Consider the following 23,393-nt stretch of genomic DNA (forward strand, 5'->3'; position numbering starts at 1 on the left):
CCAACAGCCAGCTAAGCTGAAGGGATGTAGAGCCTATGATTCAATTTTTCAAAGCAGTATTTGTAAGGCTTCGGGGTCCAGAGCTAGAAGTGACTCTGCAGTACAAGCCTGGAAGAAATCCAGGCTCAGGACCGCCTTCCCTTTCCTCCCCAGAGCCGCCCACCGACTGTTTGACATGCACAAACTGGAGTTCTTTCCACACGGCGTGGCAGGGCCACGGAGAAACCGCTCCTGGGTAATTAGACAATTAGCTCCTTGCACTCTTCCTGCAGGAACAAATCCGGGCCCCCATGGCATCTGTCCCCTCCTGTTCCTCCAGCTGGCCTCCTTGCCACGCGCACACCCTCCCCGGAACCAGGCCCGGCTGCCTGCGCCCCCCGCCCCCTTCCACTTCCGCCACCAGAAGGGGTGCGGGGAGGCCGGGCGGGAGGGGAGGGCCCAAGGCTCGCGGGGGCGGGGTGACTGCCGCCCCAGCACGCGTGCCCCTGAACTTGTCTTCAAAGTTCTCCTACGGGGTTGGCAGCCCCCTCTTGAAAGCTGCTCCGTAGCCGAGGCAGCATATGGACTGTTGACAGAGCAGCTGCTGGGGAAGAAGACGCTGAAAGGAAGCCTCGAGGGATAAACAGGAGAAACCCATGTCACCACGTGGCGCCCCAGGCGCGCGTCAATGCTCCAGCTCGTTCACTCTCATCTCCTTCCGGGGGCGAGGAAAGTGGTTTTGGACTGCTGTGCTCGATTGTCTGCTCTTAAAATAATGAACATCATTATCATCCTAATGAGAATGAGTATGACAATGATAGCTAACAGTTGTCGAGCACTTATAAGTGCCAGCCAGTTCTCTAAATGATTTCAGGTGCGTTATTCCATTTACTCCTTCAAACCGCCCTCTGAGGAAAGAGCTGTTGTTGTTCCCATTTTGTAGATGAAAAACCAAGGCTAGAGAGCTTAAGGATTTTATGCTAGACACACGGCTAGTAAGTGACCCAGGTCTTGTGCCAAAGCCTTCACTCTTAGTCATTGTTGTGATTTCCTATTACAAGCATTTTGAGTGTCAGACCACTGTAGTAGGACTGATAATTAAGATGCATGGTGTCGTGTAATTTACAAAGCAATGGGTGCATTCATTCTCTCATTTGACCTCCAGAGAGTGGGGGGCAGGTGAGAGTCATCTCTGTACTCCCAGCCTTTAGAACTGGGTCTGGCACAGAAGCATACAGTGAATTAGAGGAATAATACATGAATAAATAAATCAACCCTGGGGAAGTGCTTTCACATCCATTTTGCAGGTGAGAAAACAGGCTCTTCAGAGAGTTTTGCCTGAAACCACATAATAATAAACTTGGTTGAGAGGAGATTTGAACTCTGATCTGCAGACCACAGGTCCTGTCCTCCCTCTTTCCTACCTGGAATGTAACAGGTTAAGTGGAGGAGAAGTCTGGGTTGGGGGTGGGGCAGGGAAAGAACATAAAGCCATGAGTGTGGTTTATTTCAGAGTTGCTTACTGATAACTTAATAAATCCCCAGGGTAGAGAGCTTGAAGAGTATTGTTTCAAATGACATCCAGATTGAGCAAAAAGATGTTAATTTTTTTTTTTCCTGTCCGGAGCCCTGTCTGCAACCTTATCCTCAGTGGCCCCAGGAAGCTGTGGGTCTGTCAAATGCCATTTCCCCAGGTGGATCAGTCATCCCAGTTGGGGATCTGGACCTTCCAGACGTGAAGGCAGAAACGAAGAGCCCATTCATCACATTGAAAGCTGACACCTGACAGAGATTCAATCCCATCTTGATGCTGGAAACTTGGAGAGAAATGGAGTGGATTAATTTTCTCAGGTACTAAAGAAAAAAGTTTCTGAATATCAAAGGTAGGACCAGAAACTGCATGAATGGCTCTACTAGAAAGCTCCACTCCAGGGCGTGGCAAATCAGGGCCTGGCTATTGGCAGTCTCTTGTTTCTAGAACATGTTTCTGGAAGATTCTTCAAATGCATGTTGCACACAAATATGTTAAGCATGAATTTACTATGCTATTTGGCACAGGGAAAATACTATATCCAAACTCTGCCTCCTTTTAAGTTGAGAATGGGCTGGAAACTTGGAGGAGGTCAGGTTCCTAAGGATGGGCTTTGCTAAGCAGAGGAATATGGGGAGGCTGCAAACTGGATTAGCCAAGAGAAAGCTAAATCGTTAACATTTTGTGGGGTTGAACTTAAGAATTTCTGAGTCCTGTGGAGTTCATGGACATAAGGACAAGAACAAAAGGCTGCCACATCTGAATTGCAAACCTTTTTAAAGGTCCACTGAGACCAGAGGCACTTCTACTCCAACCCTTCTGTAATCCGTGAGGCACAAGGGTAACCTTAATGGAGTTCTTGTATGTAAAGAAAGGAACCAGATTCCCGGGCCCTTCTGAGTACCCATGATTTCTCCCCAACCTCATCTGATATGCTTTTGCCTCTGGGTGTTTGCTTACGCTGTTCCTGGTGCCTGGAATGCATATTCCTCTTTTCCGCTCACCAAACTTTCATTTATGCTTAGAAGCATAAATCGAGTCACACCCCTTGTGTGTAAAGCCTTCCTTGGACACTCCCAGCGGAGTTGGTTACATTCTGCTTGGGATTCCCACTTTGCATGTTCTTCTACTTGTCACAGGCTATTGTCTTCGTTTTGTTTGTTTGTTTTAAGAGACTGTTTTCCACAGGCAGGAAGGAGGACAGGCTTCCTATTCCCTTTCAGAAGTCCAAGGGCCAGGTAGATTCTGGTGCTTGTTAGCGGCTCCTTTTTGAAAGAACAGGAAGGTATGAAGTCTAACCTGTTGACAACGCCAGGATGGTTTTACTTTGTATTATTCATTTTGAGCAAATTTCCAAGGGGACTTTGAGAGACCAATGGGGAACAACGTGGAGGACTCCTGAGATGCAGACTCCTGGAACTTTCCCTGTCCCTGAGTTGTGGTTCAATAGAAAATGTGCACTTAGAAAGATATCTGCCCAAGTCAAACCTGTGTCCCAGGGAAAGGGAGGGCCAGGTGGAGACGGCAGATCTCATCCCCACAGACCTCCAAAGGGCCCTTTGGCACCATGATTGCTCCCTCTTCAGTCCTTCCAAGCCCTGTTGATGTTATAATCCCTGTTATTCAAATTGCACCAGAGGAATCCATGCCAGTCCATTCTGGCTTAGTCACTTCACTCATCAGCCCAGCATCCAGGGTGAGTCATTCAGCTTCAGGTTCCTTCACTTGTGGATAACAAAGTTGCTAACTTCATAGGATGGTTAGAAGAATTAAATAAGAGGTTATTTATTTATCCGTGTATTTATTTACACAATTTAAATGGCAGTATAACATAGACTGAAGTGCAAGAATCTTAACTGTAAGCTCAATGATTTTTTTAACATACATGTGCAGCTGGTAACCACCACCCAGATCAAGATAGAGAATTAAATGAGATTTTAAAAGCTGACAGAAGCTTATAAACTGTAAAGCGCTGAAGAAATGTTGGTTTTGAGTATTACCAGGAGGTGGAGCCTCTTTCCCATTAAATTCCCCTCCTATAACTTCTAGGTTTCTAGAAATCATTAGCACCAGTTGCAACACCCTAGCAAATCATTGCTGGTGCCAGGACCTTGATACCCCAGCCATGCAGAGTGGAGACACAGACCCATCCATTGCTGTTAATCTCCACATTATCAGCATGACTTCTCTGAGTCATGTTAGCCCCTGCATCCTCCCCTTCAGGCAGCAGGATGTCCTCACAAAACAGGGCCATTGACAACACAGGTGTGCAATTTCAATTCAGTACAATTTGATTCAAAAAGATGTGCCCTTTATGCTGGCGCTGGACAGAGAAGGGGAGAAGAAACTTTCTTGGCTGGGCCCTCCAAGGGGGCTTGAAATCTGTGAGGCTGTGGCCAGTTTATACATACCTGTGAAGTGAAGCCCACAGAGGCAAGAGCTGTGACTGTCACCCTTCTCACCCATGGGACTCTCTACCAGAGGGTTTCCAGACCCTCTCTCCAGGGCTGTCTACTCCTCTGGGCTGTAGCCAGCTTCTCCACTTTACCTGCTAGATTTCTCTCCTGGCTACTCTATGGCCCTCAGAACTTAGTGATTTCCTAAGAAACCCATCTTTTTACCTCTTCCACCTGGCTTCCTCCTCCTGGCTTCCCTCTTTCTCCGTTCTGGCATCACTAACTCCCAATCATCCACTCTAAGCCATATCCAAGGGTCAATTTTACACTGGCCATGGTTCTTCCTTCTGAACTTTCTCTGTCATTAGCTCCAGTGTCACCTTGAAAAGCCCCCATTCTGCCAGAGCCTCCTAACTGGCTTTCTATCAAAGCTGGAGTCCACTCCGTCACTTCCCTGACAAATGTTACCCACCCTTCCAGACCAAGGAAAACGCCTCTGCCTCCCAGAAGCACTCCTCGATTCCTTCAGTCACATGTTATTTACCTATTCCAACTGTTGACTATGGCCAGCCTTTCTCACAGTAAGTTTCTCACTCTCTCTTTCTGTCTCTGGTGTTAGGGCAGTATTTGGCCCTGGGCGATGGTGAATGAATGGATGAATGCTGCATTCAAGGCTAGACAACATAAGTAAAGGCAAAGCCATTGAGCTATTAATCATACTTTCAGGGACCCAAACCTCTTTTAAAAGGCCAGAATATGCTAATTCAAGTGGAGGCTTTGAGAGTCTTCCTTTATCCTCTCCATCCCTGACCCTTGAGCCTATCAGAAATGGGCAGACACCTGACACCTCACACTGCTCAATGCATGAAAATGCTGAATCTAGAGAAACTTTGTCATAATTACCTACCTACTTGAAAGTACAAACTACGTAATTTGCCTTTAAGTGTTCTTAAATTAATATAAATAATGAAGTATGCTCAGAATACTCAAGTACTGGTACATCAAATTGAAAACAATTAAAATTAAGATGGATTTGTTAGTATTGTGACTATTATTGATTAAAATGGTAATGATAAATAAGGAGAAATGTTAAGTACAACAGGGAGTTGGTAATATTTCTTCAAAGTAATCATTTTGCTGTGACTACCCAATTATTAGTACATTTAATGTGTTATTCAGTGCAATTAATTACCCACTTTGCTTCTGGGAAGGCACTAGGAAAAAATTGCTTTCTGCCTGGAGTGGAAAAGCCACTGCTTCTGGAGTGATGTGTGATGAAGACCACGCTCTTTGCGGATGTGGCTCCTAGCAACTCTGATAGAAGCTGCACATGCCCTTAGGGAAGAAGGGACACAACAGATGTAGCAGGTTCTCACTCTCACAGTCACTTGCTTTAGTAACCATGAGAGGTGCTGGTAAGCGGGCTGGAGGATGGAATCAGGAAACCTAGCCTGAGTCTTGGCTGGGTCAACTAGTTGTGTGACCTGAGTTTAGCTGCTGTGTCTCTCAGTGGTTCATTTTCCTCCTCTGTAGAATGGGAATAATACAACCTGTAGAGATCTCTATGTAAAGGGGACCTGTCAGTGGTGCAGATGTGCTGGGCTACAGTGATTACATGTCAAGAGCCTCAGGTCTTCCCCCAGGCTCACTCTGACTTGGAGATTTGCTTCTGGCTCCTGTAAACCACTTCTGGGAGTCACCTCTGGCAGTGTGCCATAGGTCTGCAACATCTAAATGCAAGGTGAATGTGGAAGTTTGCATACCTGCCCTCTACCCCCACTGTCAGAGGCATTTGAACCAGAGGGACTCCATCTTGAACAGGGGCTGGGTAAAATAAGGCCGAGACCTACTGGGCTGCATTCCCAGGAGGTTAGGCATTCTTAGTCACAAGATGAGATAGAAGGTCAGCAGAAGATACAGGTCACAAGACCTTGCTGATAAAATGGGTTGCGGTGAAGAAGCTGGCCAAAACTCACCAAAACCAAGATGGCGTTGAAAGTGACCTCTGGTTGTCCTCACTCCTCATTATACACTAATTACAATGCATTAGCATGCTAAAAGACACTCCCACCAGTGCCATGATGGTTTACAAATGCCATGGCAATGTCAGGAAGTTACCCTATATGGTCTAAAAAGGGGAGGAACCCTCAGTTCCGGGAATCGCCCACACCTTTCCTGGAAAACTCATGAATAATCCACCCCTTATTTAGCATACAATCAAGAAATAACTGTAAGTATAATCAGTCGAACAGCCCACACCACTGCTCTGCCTATGGAGTAGCCATTCCTTTATTCTTTTACTTTTTTAAACTTGCTTTCACTTTAGTTTTTGGACTTGCCCCAAATTCTTTCTTGTCCAAGAACCCTCTGTTGGGGTCTGGATAAGGACCCCTTTCCAGTAACACCACTCCATCCTACATCCCCGATCCAGGTGATAGGCTCCACTAGCCTTCTTTTCTTTCTTTGCTGGAAAGAATGTTAGATGGGACAAATGATGAGATAACAATTGCTGGACACTTTTACAAAGCTCTTGCCTATTTGTTTTCTTATTGTCTGTACAACCATTCTACTAGGTCAAGGAGTTTTATTAACCTCATTTTACAAACAAAGACACTAGGGTTTAGACAATAGGATCTAGAGAGGAAAAGCGACTCTCTCAAGGTCACAGAGCTAAGAAGTGGTAGCTTGTGTACTTGAACTTGAACCCTCTGACCCCAGGAACCAGGATCCCTGCCCCTTTAGCTTTCTTATATTATTGCCACATTTCCTTATCCTCGAGTCTTCCAGCTCCCAACTCTCCCCTATGCTAAGGTTCACTGTATTGTTTCATAAAGCTAATTGCTAGTTTTTACATAAAGGCTTTATTTTCTGAGCTCTAAATTGCCCAAATTAGATTTTATTAAGCTCACACGTATGATTTTCCTTGTTTTTATTAAAATTAAGTTCACTCACTTGCCATTTGCAAGGGAGTTTGAAATTAGATTGCTTGGTATCCACGGAAACACAGGGAGAATCTTCTATGTGATCGACTTTTACCCACAGAATAGAAAAAAAAAGGCAGCTGGTAATTAGGTGCGTAATTCATAGGCAAGCTCCAGAGCTCCGTGGCCAGGATCCTCTACTTTGTGGCTGAGCCATTATGACAGCTCTTCCGGCGTTTCCCTGTGCTGGGGAGGAGCAGGAAGGATGGGGGTGTGGGAGGAGCTGGTGTCAGTCCTAGCTCTGCCCCTTCCTCATTCTGTAGTTTTGGGAAAGGCAAGTCTCTTATCTGGGCCTCAGTTTTCCCATCTGTAAAATGGGGAATTAAGGAAGTTAGCCATGGCAAAAATATTTTATCCCACATTTTACTTCTGATTCCTGGTAGCGAATGGCTGTAACAGTGTGATGGGAAGGCTTTTCAGGTCATACCTGGACTCAGCAGAAAATCACGTCTTGATTAACTCACTCATTCAGCAATTACTAATTGAGCAACTGCTGAGTACCAGGGACTCTTTCAGGCGCTGGGGAATAGGTGAACTACTTAGAAGAGGCTCAGTTCTCAGGATACAACAACTATAAAAACAGACAGCTAAATAAATTAAATTTAAAAATGATCATAAGAGAAGACAAATCAGGGAAGGTGATGCTACCTTAGATTTGGGGGGATCAGCAGGAGATGATATTTGAGCTGAGACCTGAGAGGACAAGAAAAACTCAGTCATGAGGAGATCTGGCTGCAGCCAATGTGTGGGTCACAAGGTGGGATGGAACTTGGCATGCACAAGGAACAGAGACAAAGCCAGCGTGGTAGCTGGGGGTGAGATGGTCTCAGATGGACTCAGCGTGGGAGACAGTGGCTAGATGGTGATTGATTTGTTATGTCTGCCATTGACAAGGGAGCAGGGAGCCTCACTGGTGTGTGCTCCCTATTTGTAATCCCTGGACTAAATGATCTCAGCAGTGACATTCCAGGATCTTGTAGGCAAGGGCCCCTTCCCAGTATAGGGGTGTGGCTTCCAGAAGGAAGTTGTGGTTGTATTACTTCCAATAGGGTGGGTAGGGAGGGAAGAGTCCTTTGGGAAAGGGGTTGCCATTTGAACTGGGCTTTGAAGGATGCTCATTTCCATACAAAAGGGCGACATGTCCTTCTCCCTGGTACCTATTTTAGCCTGAAGAATCTGGGCTGCTTCTTTAGCAATTTAGGCAAGGTGTAGCCTGCCATGGGTAAGGAAGACTATCTGTTGGCCGTTAGTCAGGTGACATAGACAGGACACTTCAGTTTTTCTGAGCCATAGTTCCTTCATCTTTAAAATGAAACAGCAATAAAATTTACCCCTCAGAGTTTTGTGAGAATTAAGTAATAAATTGGCACAAAAAACTTTATGAAATATACCAGCATTTTAATATTTATAATTTATATATGAAACAGCCTTAATACAATATTGACACTATTAAATACGATTAGTAAGATTTAAAACTTTTTGTTATTATTAGGATGACTCTTGATGCTCATCCCTCAGAAGAACTTCATGATTTTTTCCTGAGTATAAATTGTCACAGCTTTTGTGGAAAACAATGAGCAGTGTGCATCAATGGCTTAAAAAATATTCTTTTTGCCCAGGAATTCTACTTCTTAGAATTTAACAAAAATAAATAAGTGGACTTCTGCTTCTGGCCATGGTTGAGTAGCCTATAGCAGCCTAATGCTCCTGCTAAGAACTAGAAACACTGAACAAAATACAAAAGAAAAGTTGTGTGTATTCACCCAATGGAATAATATACAGCAATGAAAATGAATTATTGCTACAAGAAAAACATCATGGATGAATCTTACAAACAATGTTGAGCAAAGGAACCAGATGCAAAATCTAGGCCAGGCAGGGTGGCTTACACCTGTAATCCCAGCCCTTTGGAAGGCCAAGGTTGGAGGATTGCTTTAGCCCAGGAGTTCAAGACCAGCCTGGGTAACATAGTGAGACCCCATCTCATAAAAAAAGCCCCATGTCTACTCCTTCTGGAATATCCACCTGGCTCAGCCTGCCTGTTTCGACTCCTGCCTCCATCACATCCATCAGAGTGACCCAGAAGTCCTCTGGCCCCTGGGCCTTCAGCAGCTGCACCTACGTGAGTGGGCCTGGCGTCTGCATCAGCTCCTTGAGCTGCTCCCGAGTGGGGAGCAGCAGCTTTCGGGGTGGCCTGGGTGGAGGCTATGGTGGGGCCAGTGGCATGGGAGGCATCATCGCCATCATGGTCAACCAGAGCCTGTTGAGCCCCCTTAACCTGGAGGTGGACCCCAACATCCAGGCCGTGTGTACCCAGGAGAAGGAGCAGATCAAGACCCTCAACAACAAGTTTGCCTCCTTCATCGACAAGGTATGGTTCCTGGAGCAGCAGAACAAGGTGCTGGAGACCAAGTGGAGCCTCCTGCAGCAGCAGAAGATGGCTCGGAGTAACATGGACAACATGTTGGAGAGCTACATCAACAACCTTAGGCGGCAGCTGGAGACTCTGGGCCAGGAGAAGCTGAAGCTGGAAGCAGAGCTTGGCAACATGCAGGGGCTGGGGGAGGACTTCAAGAACAAGTATGAGGATGAGATCAATAAGCATACGGAGGTGGAGAATGAATTTGTCCTCATCAAGAAGGATGTTGATGAAGCTTACATGAACAAGGCAGAACTGGAGTCCCTCCTGGAAGGGCTGACTGACGAGATCAACTTCCTCAGGCAGCTGTATGAAGAGGAGATCCGGGAGCTGCAGTCCCAGATCTCCGACATGTCTATGGTGCTGTCCATGGACTACAGCTGCTCTCGGGACATGGACAGCATCATCCCTGAGGTCAAGGTGCAGTATGAGGAGATTGCCAACTGCAGCCGGGCTGAGGCTGAGAGCATGTACCAGATCAAGTATGAGGAGCTGCAGACGCTGGCTGGGAAGTACGGGGATGACCTAAGCCGCACAAAGACTGAGATCTCCGAGATGAACCGGAACATCAGCTGGCTCCAGGCTGAGACCGAGGGCCTCAAAGGCCAGAGGGCTTCCCTGGAGGCCGCCATCACAGATGCCGAGCAGCGTGGGGAGCTGGCTGTTAAGGATGCCAACGCCAAGCTGTCCGAGCTGGAGGCCGCCCTGCAGCGGGCCAAGCAGGACATGATGGGGCAGCTGCGTGAGTACCAGGAGCTGATGAACGTCGGGCTTACCCTGGACATCGAGATTGCCACCTACAGGAAGCTGCTGGAGGGCGAGGAGAGCCGGCTGGAATCTGGGATGCAGAACGTGAGTATCCATACGAAGACCACCAGCAGCTATGCAGGTGGGCTGAGCTCGGCCTATGGGGGCCTCACAAGCCCCGGCATCATCTACCGCCTGGGCTCCAGCTTTGGCTCTGCCGCGGGCTCCAGCTCCTTCAGCCGCACCAGCTCCACCAGGGCCGTGGTTGTGAGGAAGATCGAGACCCATGATGGCAAGCTGGAGTCCGAGTCCTCTGACGTCCTGTCCAAGTGAACAGCTGCGGCAGCCCCACCCCGCCTGCCCCTCCTGGCTGACCCAGAGCGGGGGAGGGAGGCCGCTGTGAGGGAAGCACAGGGAACAGGAGATCCACCTCAGGCTCAGCCCTCGCCCTCAGCCCACGTTGGGGGGAGTTCACTCCCTGGGGCACCCTCCTTGCCCATGCCTCCAGCTACAAAACAATTCAATTGCTTTTTTTGTTGTTGTTGTTGTCCAAAATAACCTCAGCTAGCTCTGAAAAAAAAATCTGCACAATTTTATACTTGAATTTGTATAAAATTCAAATATATATTTATATATAGATGACATAAAATACATTAAAATGTATCTAAAACATAAATATATGTAAGTATGAAATATATTAGTAAATATATAAATATAATTTATATTTGTATTTATACTTTATAAGACAAATAAGCAACCATATAAATATAATGTATGTTTGAATTTATAGAAAAGTTAATCTAATGGTGCTTAATATTAGGATAGTATTACTCTGAGGAGACACAAAAGGGCCTTGGGTTCTGGCAATATTCTGTTTCTTGATCTGGGTGGTGGTTCTGTGAGGTATTCACTTTGTGAAAAGTCATTAAACTGTGTTCTTTTGATTTTTGCACTTTTCCATATGTATGGTTCACTTTGATTTTAAGAGAGTTTCCCTAGATGAAAAAGGAAGTCATTGGTTATGTGGATAAAGATGTTTATTACAGCATCATATATGTGGTGAAAAAGAGAAATTGCCTAACACTCCAATAATGGGAAATATTTAAATAAAATATGGTAATGATACCATCTTTAAAATAATGTTTTCAAGGGACTTTGTGTGGGAGAATTTTAATATTACACGATTAATTGAATAAATTATGAACATTGTGTATGGAATCTGGGCTTGGTGGGCTGGGTATGTTGGCACATGCCTATAATCCCAGCACTTTGGGAGGTCAAGGCCAGTGGATTGCTTGAGCCCAGGAGTTCAAGACCAGCCTGGGCAACATGACGAGACCTGTCTGCAAAAAATACAAAAATTAGCCAGGCTGGTGGCTTGCACCTGTAGTCCCAGCTACTCGGGAGGTTGAGGCAGGAAGATTGCTTGAGCCCAGAGGTCGAGGCTGCAGTGAGGCCTGATGGCACCACTGCACTCCAGCCTGGGCATCAGAGACCCTGTCTCAAAAACCAACCAAACAAACAAAACAAAAAAATTTGAGCTTAGGCTAACTGGGCTACTTCCTTAGCTCTAGAGACTGGAGGAAATGGGATAGGCTGGAGTGTGGAGACAACCTCTTCTGATTGTAGGCTTCTCCTCACTGCAGCCTCTGCCATGGGGATACAGATTAGTCAGTGGAGTCCTCCCAACCCCCGCCAAAGAGAATGATTCAAAGGTCTGCTCAGTGTCTGCTTTTCCTATTGTAAACAAAGAAACAAACAAAAAACCCCACAGTGGACTCAATGGAGCCCTCCTCTCGGCCAATGGGATTCCAAAGAAACCTGAAAAACTAGTTCAGGCCATGACGGGAAGCAGGTCAGACATGCCTCATTATGCTCGCCTCCCTTTGGAGTTCAGGCACAACTGACCAGCATTAATATTAAAACAGAGATCTTAAGACCAACAAAACAGACTCTTTGTAGTAATAAGACACCAACTTCTAATACCTGACTCTTGTATAATATCACATGACAGATAGCAGGCTGTTTAAAGTATCAAGCTATTTTACCCCAAAATATATTTATTTGCCATATTTTGAAAGGGACCTGCAAAACCGTCTCTTGTGGGGGAAATTTACATTCTGTAGAGATTCTTTTCCTTTTCCAGGTCTTTTTCTGATCCTGTAGAAATTAGCTGAGAGTCTAGCACCTGTTAAAGGTGCCATCTATTGCCTCTAAGGGAGGCTGCCTTTGAGATTTCATCTATATAATAAGAACCTTGGTCTCCACAACCCCATATCTTAACCTAGACACTCCTTTCTGTTGATTCCAGATCTTGAGATAATAACTGAATTCTTTCAATCAAATGCCCATCAGAAAATCCTTGAATCCACCATTGACCTGTAAGCCCCTGCTTTGAGTTGTCCTGCCTTTCCAGGTTGAACCAATGTGTGGTATACCTCACATGGACTGATTGATGTCTTATGTCTCCCTAAAATGTATAAAACAAAACTGTAACCCAATCACCTTGGGCACATGTTCTCAGGACCTCTTGAGGCTGTGTTGGGTCGTGGTCCTCACATTTGGCTCAAAATAAATCTCTTCAAATATTTTACAGAGTTTGGCTTTTTTTTTCATACACTACCTTCTAGGGAAGTGAAGCAGATCCCATTTCCTGACCCTGATCTTCCTTGTCCTCATCTCTCAAAGAGCACCATCATTCTTTAACCACCTCCTTTCATATCTCCACCATCCTGGGAGACCCACTTGCCTTTCCTCAGCAGCACTTGGCTCCGCTGAGTTAACAGATCTGGATAGTTCCCAGCACCCCTCTCCCAAGGCTTAGCATCAGTCCAGATGAAAGTCATGGGCAAGAAGAGAAATATTTTCCTACCTGCACTGTGGTTTACAAACTACCTGCCCACAAATTTGTAAGTACTCCATGTTATTTTTTGGAGTTATACTAGTAATTCTTTCATTCCTCTTTCCACTCTGCCGCCCACCTTACCCCAGGCCAGTCATATTGGACTTAACATAACTGCTCTCTTAATTACTGAAAGACCTGGGAGAGGTGTTGTAATCACCAAGTGTAAGAGCTTGATTACTTACGCCCCCATGCAAGCCGCCTTCCTCTTCTCTCAAGGATCCAAATGGGGATGGGGGGGATGCTTTCCAAATTTTCTAATATGAGTTTTTACCACTTTTATAATCAGAAAAAAATATAAAATAACGTTCTTTATCTCTATGAGTCATATAATGTTAGTATGCTGTGCCTGCAGATCACCTGGGGACCTTGTCAAAATGCAGGCTCTGATTCTGTAGGGCTGAGGCCTGGGATTCTGCATTTCAAACATCCCAGGGGATGCTGTTGCTGCTGGTGCAGATGGTGCTTTGAGGAGGATGGGTACAGGCTGTGACCCCCTCCCTTCTCTTCACCTCCCTCCCCCCATGTTTCACAGATCTTCACAGTTCACTGCCCATTTCGTGCAATGATGAGTAAGTAAGAGGAGTTTCAAGGAGGTTGAAATCTATACATGTTTGGGCTCAACACACAGCATTTTGGTGGTTATTTCTTTAGAGAACAGGTTCCCAGATTTGACCTCCTTTACACCCCAAACAGATATAACCATTTGAACCCACAGAAAGGCGCTTAGGAATCAAGAGGCAAAACTCTGGCCTCCGCTATGCCAGTGACTCAGTTTTCCCTCCCCCTATGCAATTGATGGCACTTTGTGTACATTGTTGGTAAAGATGATGATTTTCATGGTCCTACAAAAGGATCGTTATGGAGTTAGGGAGCACTAAGTCACCAAGTCTTCACTGGAGGCTGGAGGATCACTTACTGGGGTGTCGTAACAGGGATTTGAACATCAAAGGGGAAGGTGGCTAAAAGACCTAGAGTATCCTGAGTATTATGAGTCAAAGATAGTTTTACTTTCCAGTTCTATTACAGATCAAAAGATTACATTATATCTTCTTGGAGAGATGGAGAGATAAATAGGAAAATACTGAAGCTACATTAGTGAACTATTTTTTTTATTATTTGAAATCAAGCAGTGCTAGGGTGGAAAAGACACTTAAAGGCCTCTAGTTCTGCCTGCTTATAGGAGATGCTCTGTAGAGTTTTGGTGCCATGGTCAGAGAATGCTCCCAAATTCAAAAGGAGTCTTCCTGAGGGATGGTTGTGATAATCTGGTCTCCAAACAAATACTTCATTGACAGGAATAAGTTGCCTCCCAGTAATAAGTTGCCTCCCCTACCAGTAGGTAGGTCTGACTGTTTGGAATTCTCTCAGGTAACTAGAAATCTGACTCCCTGTGATCTTCACCCAATGTCCCAAGGTTTCAACCAGGTGTTTCCAAACGTCCCTGCTGACAAATATCACCTAGGATGCTTACTTAGAATCCAGCCCAACTCCAATTTACACAAACAGATGCTCATGTCCCTCCTCGATATTTTGATTCAATGGGGCTGAGATGGGGTTGGATTTTTTTTTTTCTAATAACCATGCTGACTCCCTTCAGGCATATGGGCATATGGAATCAGTGAAGGAGGCATTTAGATACAAAGGTTCATTCCTTTGACTCCAGAGAAAAATCCATTATTGAAAGTGGCAGATATACAGGTTGGCTGACTTCTTTATTTCATATTTACCATATGAGTTGCTGGGTCATATTTTTTTCAACTGAACATAAATATGAGATACACACACACACAAGCGCATTTTAAAATGCCCCTGTCCTTATGATTGTGAGAAAGATAAGTGAAGCTGTTTTAAGGTAGATACAACTAAACAAAGGATAGAGGAAGAAAATATTAAACTGTGAAAAAACCTTACAAATATAGTGATTAACAGCAGCAAAATTGAAGTCAATGTCCAATACTGAGGTTGGTGGACTGATTTTCATTTTAAATGTTTGCCCAAACTAGGAAGAACTACAAAGATACTCATATATCCTGCAATCCAATACTTTTCCCCCTAGAATTTTAGGGTAAGTAAATCATTCAATAGAAAATAAAGACCTATTCAAAAAGATCCTCATAGAGGCATTATTTATAATTTTGATAAAATTATGAAAAAATTCAATATCCAATAATAGCCTGTTAAATAAACTGAGGTATAACTATGGAATGAAATATGCAGCTACTAAAATTACTTTAAAAATCTATGTCAATTGGAACTAATGCTTATAACATTCAATGTAGTATTGTGGAAAAAAAATTAATCCATTTACAGTTTTTTGGTATATAGCTGAGAGATGAGAACAAGGAAAAGTACACTTTTGTTAAACAATTATTTGCTTAATAAAAAATATATTTAAAATAATACCATTAATACAATATTATATGCACAAAGCCAACAGAAAATTTTATTTAGAGGAAGTAGAGGATTAGGCCTTTGATAAATGTCCATTGAAATCAAGGCCTCCCTCTTTCATGGGACCCTAACTAAGGTCTTTGAGGTGTGGAGGGAAGGCTCTTAGAGTCAACTGGTTCAACCTCCTAAGCATTGTAAGGATGTTATTTTAGCAACCTTGACATTTGATACCCTTGGACCTCTTTGACTTCCATTACTGGTAAGCAAGCTGGGAAGTTTTCCTCAAAGCTCACTGCCACCTTTGGGAGAGATCCAGTGTGGTGGGTGGTGGGTAGAGGCAGATGGTCAAAAGCGCAACTAGGAAAGCCAGACTTCCCATCCCAAATTTTGTTTGTTCAGACCAGAATTCTTTTGTTCAGAGCAGATTGGCACCAACTTCTCAAAATTTGCATCGGAGAACAAAGATTCATGTTTGAGTAAAAACAGTGAGAATAGCACAGCTTGCTTCTTAAAGGTTCCTCCTGCCCCCACTCCCACCCACTCAAATTCTCTATTTCTGATCTTTCAGGGGCAGGGGAACCCATGAGTCTGATTAGGAACAATTTCCTGGACTAGAGGCAAAAGCCTTTGAGTCAGGGCCTCCTGAAAAAATGAATTGGCTCCATGGGGACACTTTGAGAGAGTTGGTCTGGGGGCTGCTGCAGGGGCATTAGGGGCATTTCTGGGTGAGGGTAAATGTTCCTGAGCATCAAATTTACCAGGTTAGAATCTGGATAAATGGGATATTACTAATTATATTGGCATGAGCTGGATTTATGTATAAAGAGCAGATGTTTCACAGTCAGAAAGCCAACACTCAATCTTGGCTCTGCCTATTATTAGCTATGGGATTTGGGTCAATCACATTCCTTTTCTGGACCTTAGTTTCCTTACTTATGAAATGGGATAACAATTTGTCTTGTACAACTCACAGGGATGTTGTAAAAATCATTTAAATACTAGATTGGAAGTACTTGATAACTTCAAAAGATTGTGTATGCTAGTTATTTTAATAATACTGGAAATAGTGATATTGCAATTCTGAATTTTATTTTGGGGTCTTAAGTATTGATTCCTATAGGCTTGTAATTATTTAGGGAATGATGAATAGACTCCCATGTATTGAGGTTGTATTACAAGTTAAATTCTTTTTCCATCTAGGCTACAGGAGGGTTGGGGGTAGGGGGGTGGTCAGTGGAGGGGTGGTAAGCCAGGCAAAGTATGTAAGGAAGACATGCCTTCAGAAAGCCTGCCCAGACACCTCAGGCCTTGTTTGTTTTATATCATTGACTTGTCTATAACGAGGAAGTGTGCACGCCAATGTCATAAATGATAGGAGAGAATCTTGAAGTCTTTTGCAAGAATGATGAATCAGAGGTGCCTGGGATGGAATCAATATACCATAATTAACTATTGCCTTCCTTATTGACAGTAAGCTAGAAGATTTTAATTTTTTTACTACTACACACAATACTGTGATGAAATTCTTTTATACATGTACAAGATGTTGTGTGGGGCACACAAACAAGTATTTCTTTTGGAAAAAGTCCTAGAAGTAGAAGGGTCAGGTCAATTGATATGTGCATTTTAAAATTTGATGGGCGTTTTCAAGTGGACTTCATCGGTTAACTTCATGAGTTTACACACAGAATGGGCCTGGAGAATGTCTCTTTCTTCACATTTTCACCAACACTTGACATCTATCTTTTTACTTTTTACCAAATAATTCTCTTTTCTCTCACCAGCTGTGATATGCAGCTTTGCATGCTCATTGAGTGTATATTTTCTGTGTATTGCCTGTTTATTTCCTTTTCAAATTTTTCTGAGGATTTGTCTTTTTCCTGTTAGAAACTCTTTTTTTTATTATTTTATTTTATTTTTTTCTTTTGAGACGGAGCCTCTCTCTGTCTCCCAGGCTGAAGTGCAGTGGCGCGATCTCGGCTCACTGCAACCTTCGCTGCCTGGTTTGCAGCGATTCTCCCACCTCAACTTCCCGAATAGCTGGGATTACAGGCACCTGCCACCGCTCCTGGCTAATTTTTGTAGTTTTTTAGTAGAAACGGGGTTTCACCATCTTGGCCAGGCTGGTCTTGAACTCCTGACCTCGTGATCCACCCGTCTTGGCCTCCCAAAGTGCTGGGATTACAGGCGTGAGCCACTGCGCCCAGCCTAGAAACTCTTCATATGCTCCATATATTAATCATTTACCTGTTAAGTATGTTGCAAGTATTGTTTCCCAGACTTTTAAACCTGCCTTATGGTGTATTTTAACTTAAAGAATTTTACAATTTTTATGAGGTTAAATTTGGGAAACCAATCTTTCTTTCGTTCTTTCTTTTCTTTCTTTCTTTCTTTCTTTCTTTCTTTCTTTCTTTCTTTCTTTCCTTTCTTTCTTTCTTTCTTTCTTTTCTTTCTTTCTTTCTTTCTTTTCTTTCTTTCTTTCTTTCTTTCTTTCTTTCTTTCTTTTCTTTCTTTATTTCCTTTCTCTCTTTCTCTCTCTCTTTCTTCCTCCCTTCTTTACTTCCTTCCTTCCTTCTTTCTCCCTCCCTCCCTCCCTTCCTCCCTCCTCTCTCTCTTTCTCTCTTTCTTTCTTCTTTCTTTTTGATAGAGTCTTGCTTTGTCGCCCAGGCTAGAGTACAGTGGCACCATCTCAACTCACTGCAACCTCCGCCTCCCAGGTGCAAGCAATTCTCCTGCCTCAGCCTCCCAAGTAGCTGGGACTACAGACGCGCACCACCATGCCCAGCTGATTTCTGTGTTTTTAATGGAGTCGGGGTTTCACCTTGTTGGGCAAGCTCATCTCGAACTCCTGACCTCAAGTGATCCTCCCACCTTGGCCTCCCAAAGTGCTGGGATTACAGGCATGAACAACTGCGTCTGGCTGGGAAACATTTATTTTACAGTTCCCGGGTTTTGTCTCTTGCTTAGGAAGACCTCGCCACCCTAAGTTAAAAAAATATTTACCAGTTTTCTTCACCAATGTTTTCATCTAATATTTTTATGATTTCGCTCTTTAATTCATCTAAAAGTTGTTTCCTGGGGATGGATGGTGTGAATTAGGAATCTAAGACAATTTCTTCCCAAATGAATCGCTAATCGGTTCACTTCCACTTGTGAATTAGTCTATTGTTTCTCCATTAATTTCAACTACCATCTTTATTGTATACTTAATTTTCATATATACTTGAGTTGGTTTCTAGGTTTTTAATTCTGTTCCATTGATCAGCTTATCAATGTCTGTATGAATAATAGACCATTTTAATTACTACAGCATACAATGTGTTTTGACACCTGGTAGGATCTGGTAGGATAAGACCCGAATTAAAAATGCTATTGAATTTAGATCAAAATTGCATTGATGGATATATGTGGGAAAAATCAGTATATTTTCAATATTAAGTCTTGAAATTCCCAACCAGGAATATAGTTTATTACTTCATGTATTTAGGTTCACATCATTAAGTACATTTTTTAGTTATCTTTAAATAGATCTTGTATGTTTTAAAAATTATGTTTATTTTCCAGATTTTTTGTTGTAAATGGAATCCCTTAGAATTATTATTAGATTAATTAGTACGGGTATATAGGAAGCCTATTGAATGAATTATATTGATGGGCTTATCCACAGTTTTTTGAACTTTTTTATTCTAATAGCTTTCAGTTGTGTCTCTTGATTTTTTTTTTTTTTTTTTTTTTTTTTTTGAGACTGAGTCTTGCTCTGTCGCCCAGGCTGGAGTGCAGTGGCGCGATCTCGGCTCACTGCAAGCTCCGCCTCCCGGGTTCACACCATTCTGCCTCAGCCTCCCGAGTAGCTGGGACTACAGGCGCCCACCACCACACCCGGCTAATTTTCTGTATTTTTAGTAGAGACGGGGTTTCACCATGTTAGCAAGGATGGCCTTGATCTCCCGACCTCATGATCCACCCGCCTTGCCCTCCAAAAGTGCTGGGATTACAGGCGTGAGCCACTGCGCCTGGCTTGAATTTTTTTTAAGTGGGCAATCATCTGCACTGAGTAAAAGTTTGTTTTTTTCTTTCCAATCTTTATATCTCTAATTTTCTTATCTTTTGATCCCCCAGAACACTAATGACTAGTACCCATGACAGCAATCAATTCTGTCTTGCACTTATCTTTAGTGGGAATGCTTCTAAGAAATCCCCATTAAATATTTAACTACTGAGGGTTTCTGATAGACAGCCATTTTTTATGTTGAGGAACTTGCATTCTATTTCTGACTTACTGAGATTCTAAGAAATTAATTCTTAATGTTGAACTTTATTGAATGCTTTTTGTATTTATTGAGGTAATTAATGTTCCTTAATCTCTGTGCTGAATTGTAGGATGAATTTCTCTAATGTTGAAATGTCTTTCGTCCCTGGGCTAAGCTCTCCTTGGAAAAAAAATGTATTCTTTAATATACTCTTGGATTTTATTTGCTAATATTTATAATTTAGGATGTTTGCCTCTATGTTTGCAAGTGACAATTGGCCACCACTCCCTGATGATTCTTATTCTCCTTGTTCTCATCTCTAATGTCATTTCATTGTTAACTATAATCTATGGCCACCTTAGGCATCTTACTCTTCTCCAAACATGTCAGGCTTTGTCACACTTCAAAGCCAATACGTTTACTATATCCTTTGCCTGGACTTCCTTCCCTGAGGTGTTTGTGTGGCTGGATGCTTATTAATATGCAGGCACCTGAATTTATCGCCACCTTATCTAAACTAGTCACCTGCTGTCATTCTCTGCTCCTTTGGCCTGCTTTATGTCCTCTGTGGTACTATTTCTATCAGAAAGTGTGTTATTGACCAATTTGTTTCCTTGTTATTATCTGTTTTTTCCCAATAAGTTGTCACTCCATGCTCAGGGGAATTGTCTGCCTGGGCACTGCTGCATGTAGATCACAAAGTAGATGCTCAGGAAATATGTATTAATAAATGCTGCCCCCCCGCCCAGATAAGATGCATGGGAGACAAAATTTCTCAGTTGCTTTAGGTTTGAATTTTTTTTTTTTTTTTTTGGTCTCCTTCATTGTATGCTAGCTGATTGGCATAGGATTCCAATATATAAGTGGCAGTCTCTGTATATGTAAAATGAAGATAATAAGGCACCTGTCTCATGGAGATTTTAAGGTCACTAAATGTGAAATGTATATAAAGTACTTATTGCTATGCAAGGCATGTAGTTAGCATTCAGTAAATGTTGCTGTTACTGTTATTGACCACTCCCTCACGAAACACCTGATGGGCCTCCCTGTGTCTCAGTTTCTCCTCATTCTCAAATGTGGTCAGCAATTCCGGCTCCCTTATTCCACAGGGTGCTGTAAGGATTTAACATAAACACGGCATTTGAAAATGATAGAGTGTTATGTGAACACTGTGACTCTTTTCTGCCATACCCAAGAGAGAGCCTCACTAAAGGAACCCAGGAGGCAGCGCACCCAGTGAGCAGGGCAAAACCTGGAGCTGGACAGCCCTGGGCTCAAATCCTGACTTGACTATTGACCAGCTGTGTGACTTTGGGCAAATTTTAAGCCCCTTTGATCCTCATATTGGTTGTTATCGCTACTCACCTCTGTAAAATAGGGAATAATGGCCATTTCACAGGGTTACTGTGGGAATTAAGTGAAAGCGAACATGTAAAAAATTCAGTTTAGCACTTTGCACAAGAGTGGGCTTAATGATCATTTAATAAATATCTATTAATATTATATTTTTCTATGAAACGAATTGGCAAACCATGATTTAGAGCATTCTCTTTCCAATTTTCCGTCATCAAAATAATCACACTTCGCACATCTTCACTGGCAGATTTCACAGTTAGTGGATTCGGGAAAAGTTATTTACTTGAATAACAAATTCTTCGTCCAATTCTCCAACCTGCACATTCAAGTGGGGGTTGTTAGAGATCTGCGTGCAGTGTGGGTGGATTGCAGGAGGCAGTGATCGTGGTCGTAGAGTTAATGCATAGGACCCTCGCTGTGTGCCAGTCACTGTGCCAAAGAGCTTTACAAACTCGCCCTCATTCATTCTCATCGTACAGATGAGAAAGCAGAGGTCCAGAGAGGATAGAAAACTTGCCCAAGGCCACACAGCTAATCAGAGTCAGAGGCTAGAGCTGAGCCAGCAGCTAGACTTCAGAATCTGTGTCCTGTGTTAGAATGGAGCAGAGGCATACGAGTACAGCGGCTTTCTTCTCGGCCGCTTGCAGCATGTCTGAGAGAGGAAGCAAGGGGTCTCGACATCCTCCCCACAGCAAAGGGAGAGATCTCAGCACCCAATCTGTCAATTTTCTTGGGTATAAGTTATTTGCTCAGAGAATGTGCTTGACAAATTATTTTACAAATGAATGAATAATCAACGAAGAAGCGCATCAACAAATGTAGTCTTCTGAAGACCCCTGTAAATAAGGCTACCAGAATATGCTGGAAAGGTCACAAAGAGAAACACTGGATTCACTTTTAGCCCAAACTATGGATAATGCTCAATCTTAGCATCTATTCTTGGCATATGCAGTAAATCCTCAGTTAATGTCATTGATAGGTTCTTGGAAACTTCAACTTTAAGCAAAATGATGTACAGTGTGATAGAACCAATTTTACCATAGACTAATTGATATAAACAAGAGTTAAATTGCTACAGCATACAGTATGTCATTTTGCTTAAAGTCACAGTTTCCAAGAACCTATAGACGACATTAAGAGAAGACTTAGCTGTGTTTTCTTCTATTAATTATATTTGTATATGTGGCAGGCTGGCTAGCTGCTCACCAAACTTAGAGCTGTGTTTCCCAGCTTCTTCTGAAGTAAGGTGTACCATGAAATGGATTCTCTCCAGGGGAATGTGAATGGAATTGATGAATGTCACTTTCTAGCTGTGGTGGTTAAGAAATAAGTGTGTGTCTTCTTTCTTCTTTCATTTTCCTCGTCTGCTGACAGAATGAAGAGGACCCTGAAGCCCTAGGAGACAAGAACAGAACCACAAGATGGAAAGAGTTTGGGTTCCCAGAAGGTGGCCCACCAACTGTCAATATCTGTGTTGGATGTTCACCTGAATGAAAAAACTTTTATTGTATTGAACCACTGGAGTTTGGGAATTTGTTACAGCTGCTAGCATTACCTTGTTTATTTTGTTGTTGGTAAACTGGTAAATCTATAACTAATAAATAACAGGAACATACGAAGGATGCCTCAGAAGCTCCCTCTTCCTCTCTACTAAAGGTACAGGAATGGTTATTATAGTTTAAAAGGCAGTTTTACATAGTCATTGAACCCTTACAACTTGGCATATTTACTGTTATATGGAGAAGATTGGAATTCAGTTAAGTGGCTTCTCCAAGGTCACTCAACTGGCAATTAAGAGGGAGATGCGGACTCCAACCAAGGCTTGTCTGGTATTGCAGCCTCTACTACTTCTGTCACGGCACAGTAATAAATGTGAAATTCTATGGGGATAAGTTCCCTTTCTGTCAATATCATGTCCAAGATGTTTGGACATGTCCTTCTCCCTCCTTCTTTTCACCTTTGTCTCTGCCAGAGTTTCTTTAGGATGCAGTGCCCAAGGCTTGTGATTAAAAACAGCTGCAGAAGCAGGAGCAAAACATTACCTAAAAATAAGTAGCACCTCAGAACACAATGTGCATGGACTTCTGGGAGGTGGACAGAGTTGGTGGGGTGTGTGACATAGAGCTGCCGCAGGGAAAGCTTTGGTTCTCCACAACAGGCATCTCTTTCTGTGGTTGGCTATTCCTGGGAGTCTCAATGAACTTGATCTCAGAATCCAGGGCAAAAAAAATGGACTCACTCTTCTGCTAAGGAATGAGAAAACTTCCTTTAAGAGTTCATTATCCAATTGGTTCAAACGTATTTAATAAAATGGAAGAACTCTCATCGAAAATATTAGGTAAAAAAAATGATGCAAAATAGCCTAATCAAAATTTAATTAATATTTTTATACACACACAGTTTGCAAAAAGATTGAAAGAATACACCTCAGTGTTAAC

The 23,393-nt window shown here is 43.0% G+C and overlaps 1 long non-coding RNA gene and 1 pseudogene across 1 annotated transcript, besides 4 other annotated features; both read left to right on the plus strand.

Moving 5' to 3' along the window:
* Window positions 275-474: a silencer, noted in NCBI's record as "silent region_20127". NCBI's record gives its function as "represses an Ori minimal core promoter by ATAC-STARR-seq in GM12878 lymphoblastoid cells {active_cell/tissue: GM12878}" and the evidence as "EXISTENCE:reporter gene assay evidence [ECO:0000049][PMID:35858748]".
* Window positions 685-734: an enhancer, noted in NCBI's record as "active region_28707". NCBI's record gives its function as "activates an Ori minimal core promoter by ATAC-STARR-seq in GM12878 lymphoblastoid cells {active_cell/tissue: GM12878}" and the evidence as "EXISTENCE:reporter gene assay evidence [ECO:0000049][PMID:35858748]".
* Window positions 1,724-22,574, plus strand: LOC124902231 (uncharacterized). Its single transcript, XR_007061691.1, has 2 exons — window positions 1,724-1,830; window positions 22,330-22,574. It is a non-coding gene; the product is annotated as an uncharacterized LOC124902231 (long non-coding RNA).
* Window positions 8,859-10,626, plus strand: KRT8P11 (keratin 8 pseudogene 11; annotated as a pseudogene).
* Window positions 10,138-10,637: an enhancer, noted in NCBI's record as "H3K4me1 hESC enhancer chr9:102068645-102069144 (GRCh37/hg19 assembly coordinates)". NCBI's record gives its function as "activates a minimal SCP1, AML or CMV promoter by ChIP-STARR-seq in naive H9 embryonic stem cells {active_cell/tissue: H9 hESC(naive)}" and the evidence as "EXISTENCE:reporter gene assay evidence [ECO:0000049][PMID:30033119]".
* Window positions 13,392-13,621: an enhancer, noted in NCBI's record as "active region_28708". NCBI's record gives its function as "activates an Ori minimal core promoter by ATAC-STARR-seq in GM12878 lymphoblastoid cells {active_cell/tissue: GM12878}" and the evidence as "EXISTENCE:reporter gene assay evidence [ECO:0000049][PMID:35858748]".
* Window positions 22,575-23,393: the final 819 nt, after the last annotated feature.

Source organism: Homo sapiens, chromosome 9 (genome assembly GCF_000001405.40).
Source record: "Homo sapiens chromosome 9, GRCh38.p14 Primary Assembly".
Taxonomy (NCBI): domain Eukaryota; kingdom Metazoa; phylum Chordata; class Mammalia; order Primates; family Hominidae; genus Homo; species Homo sapiens.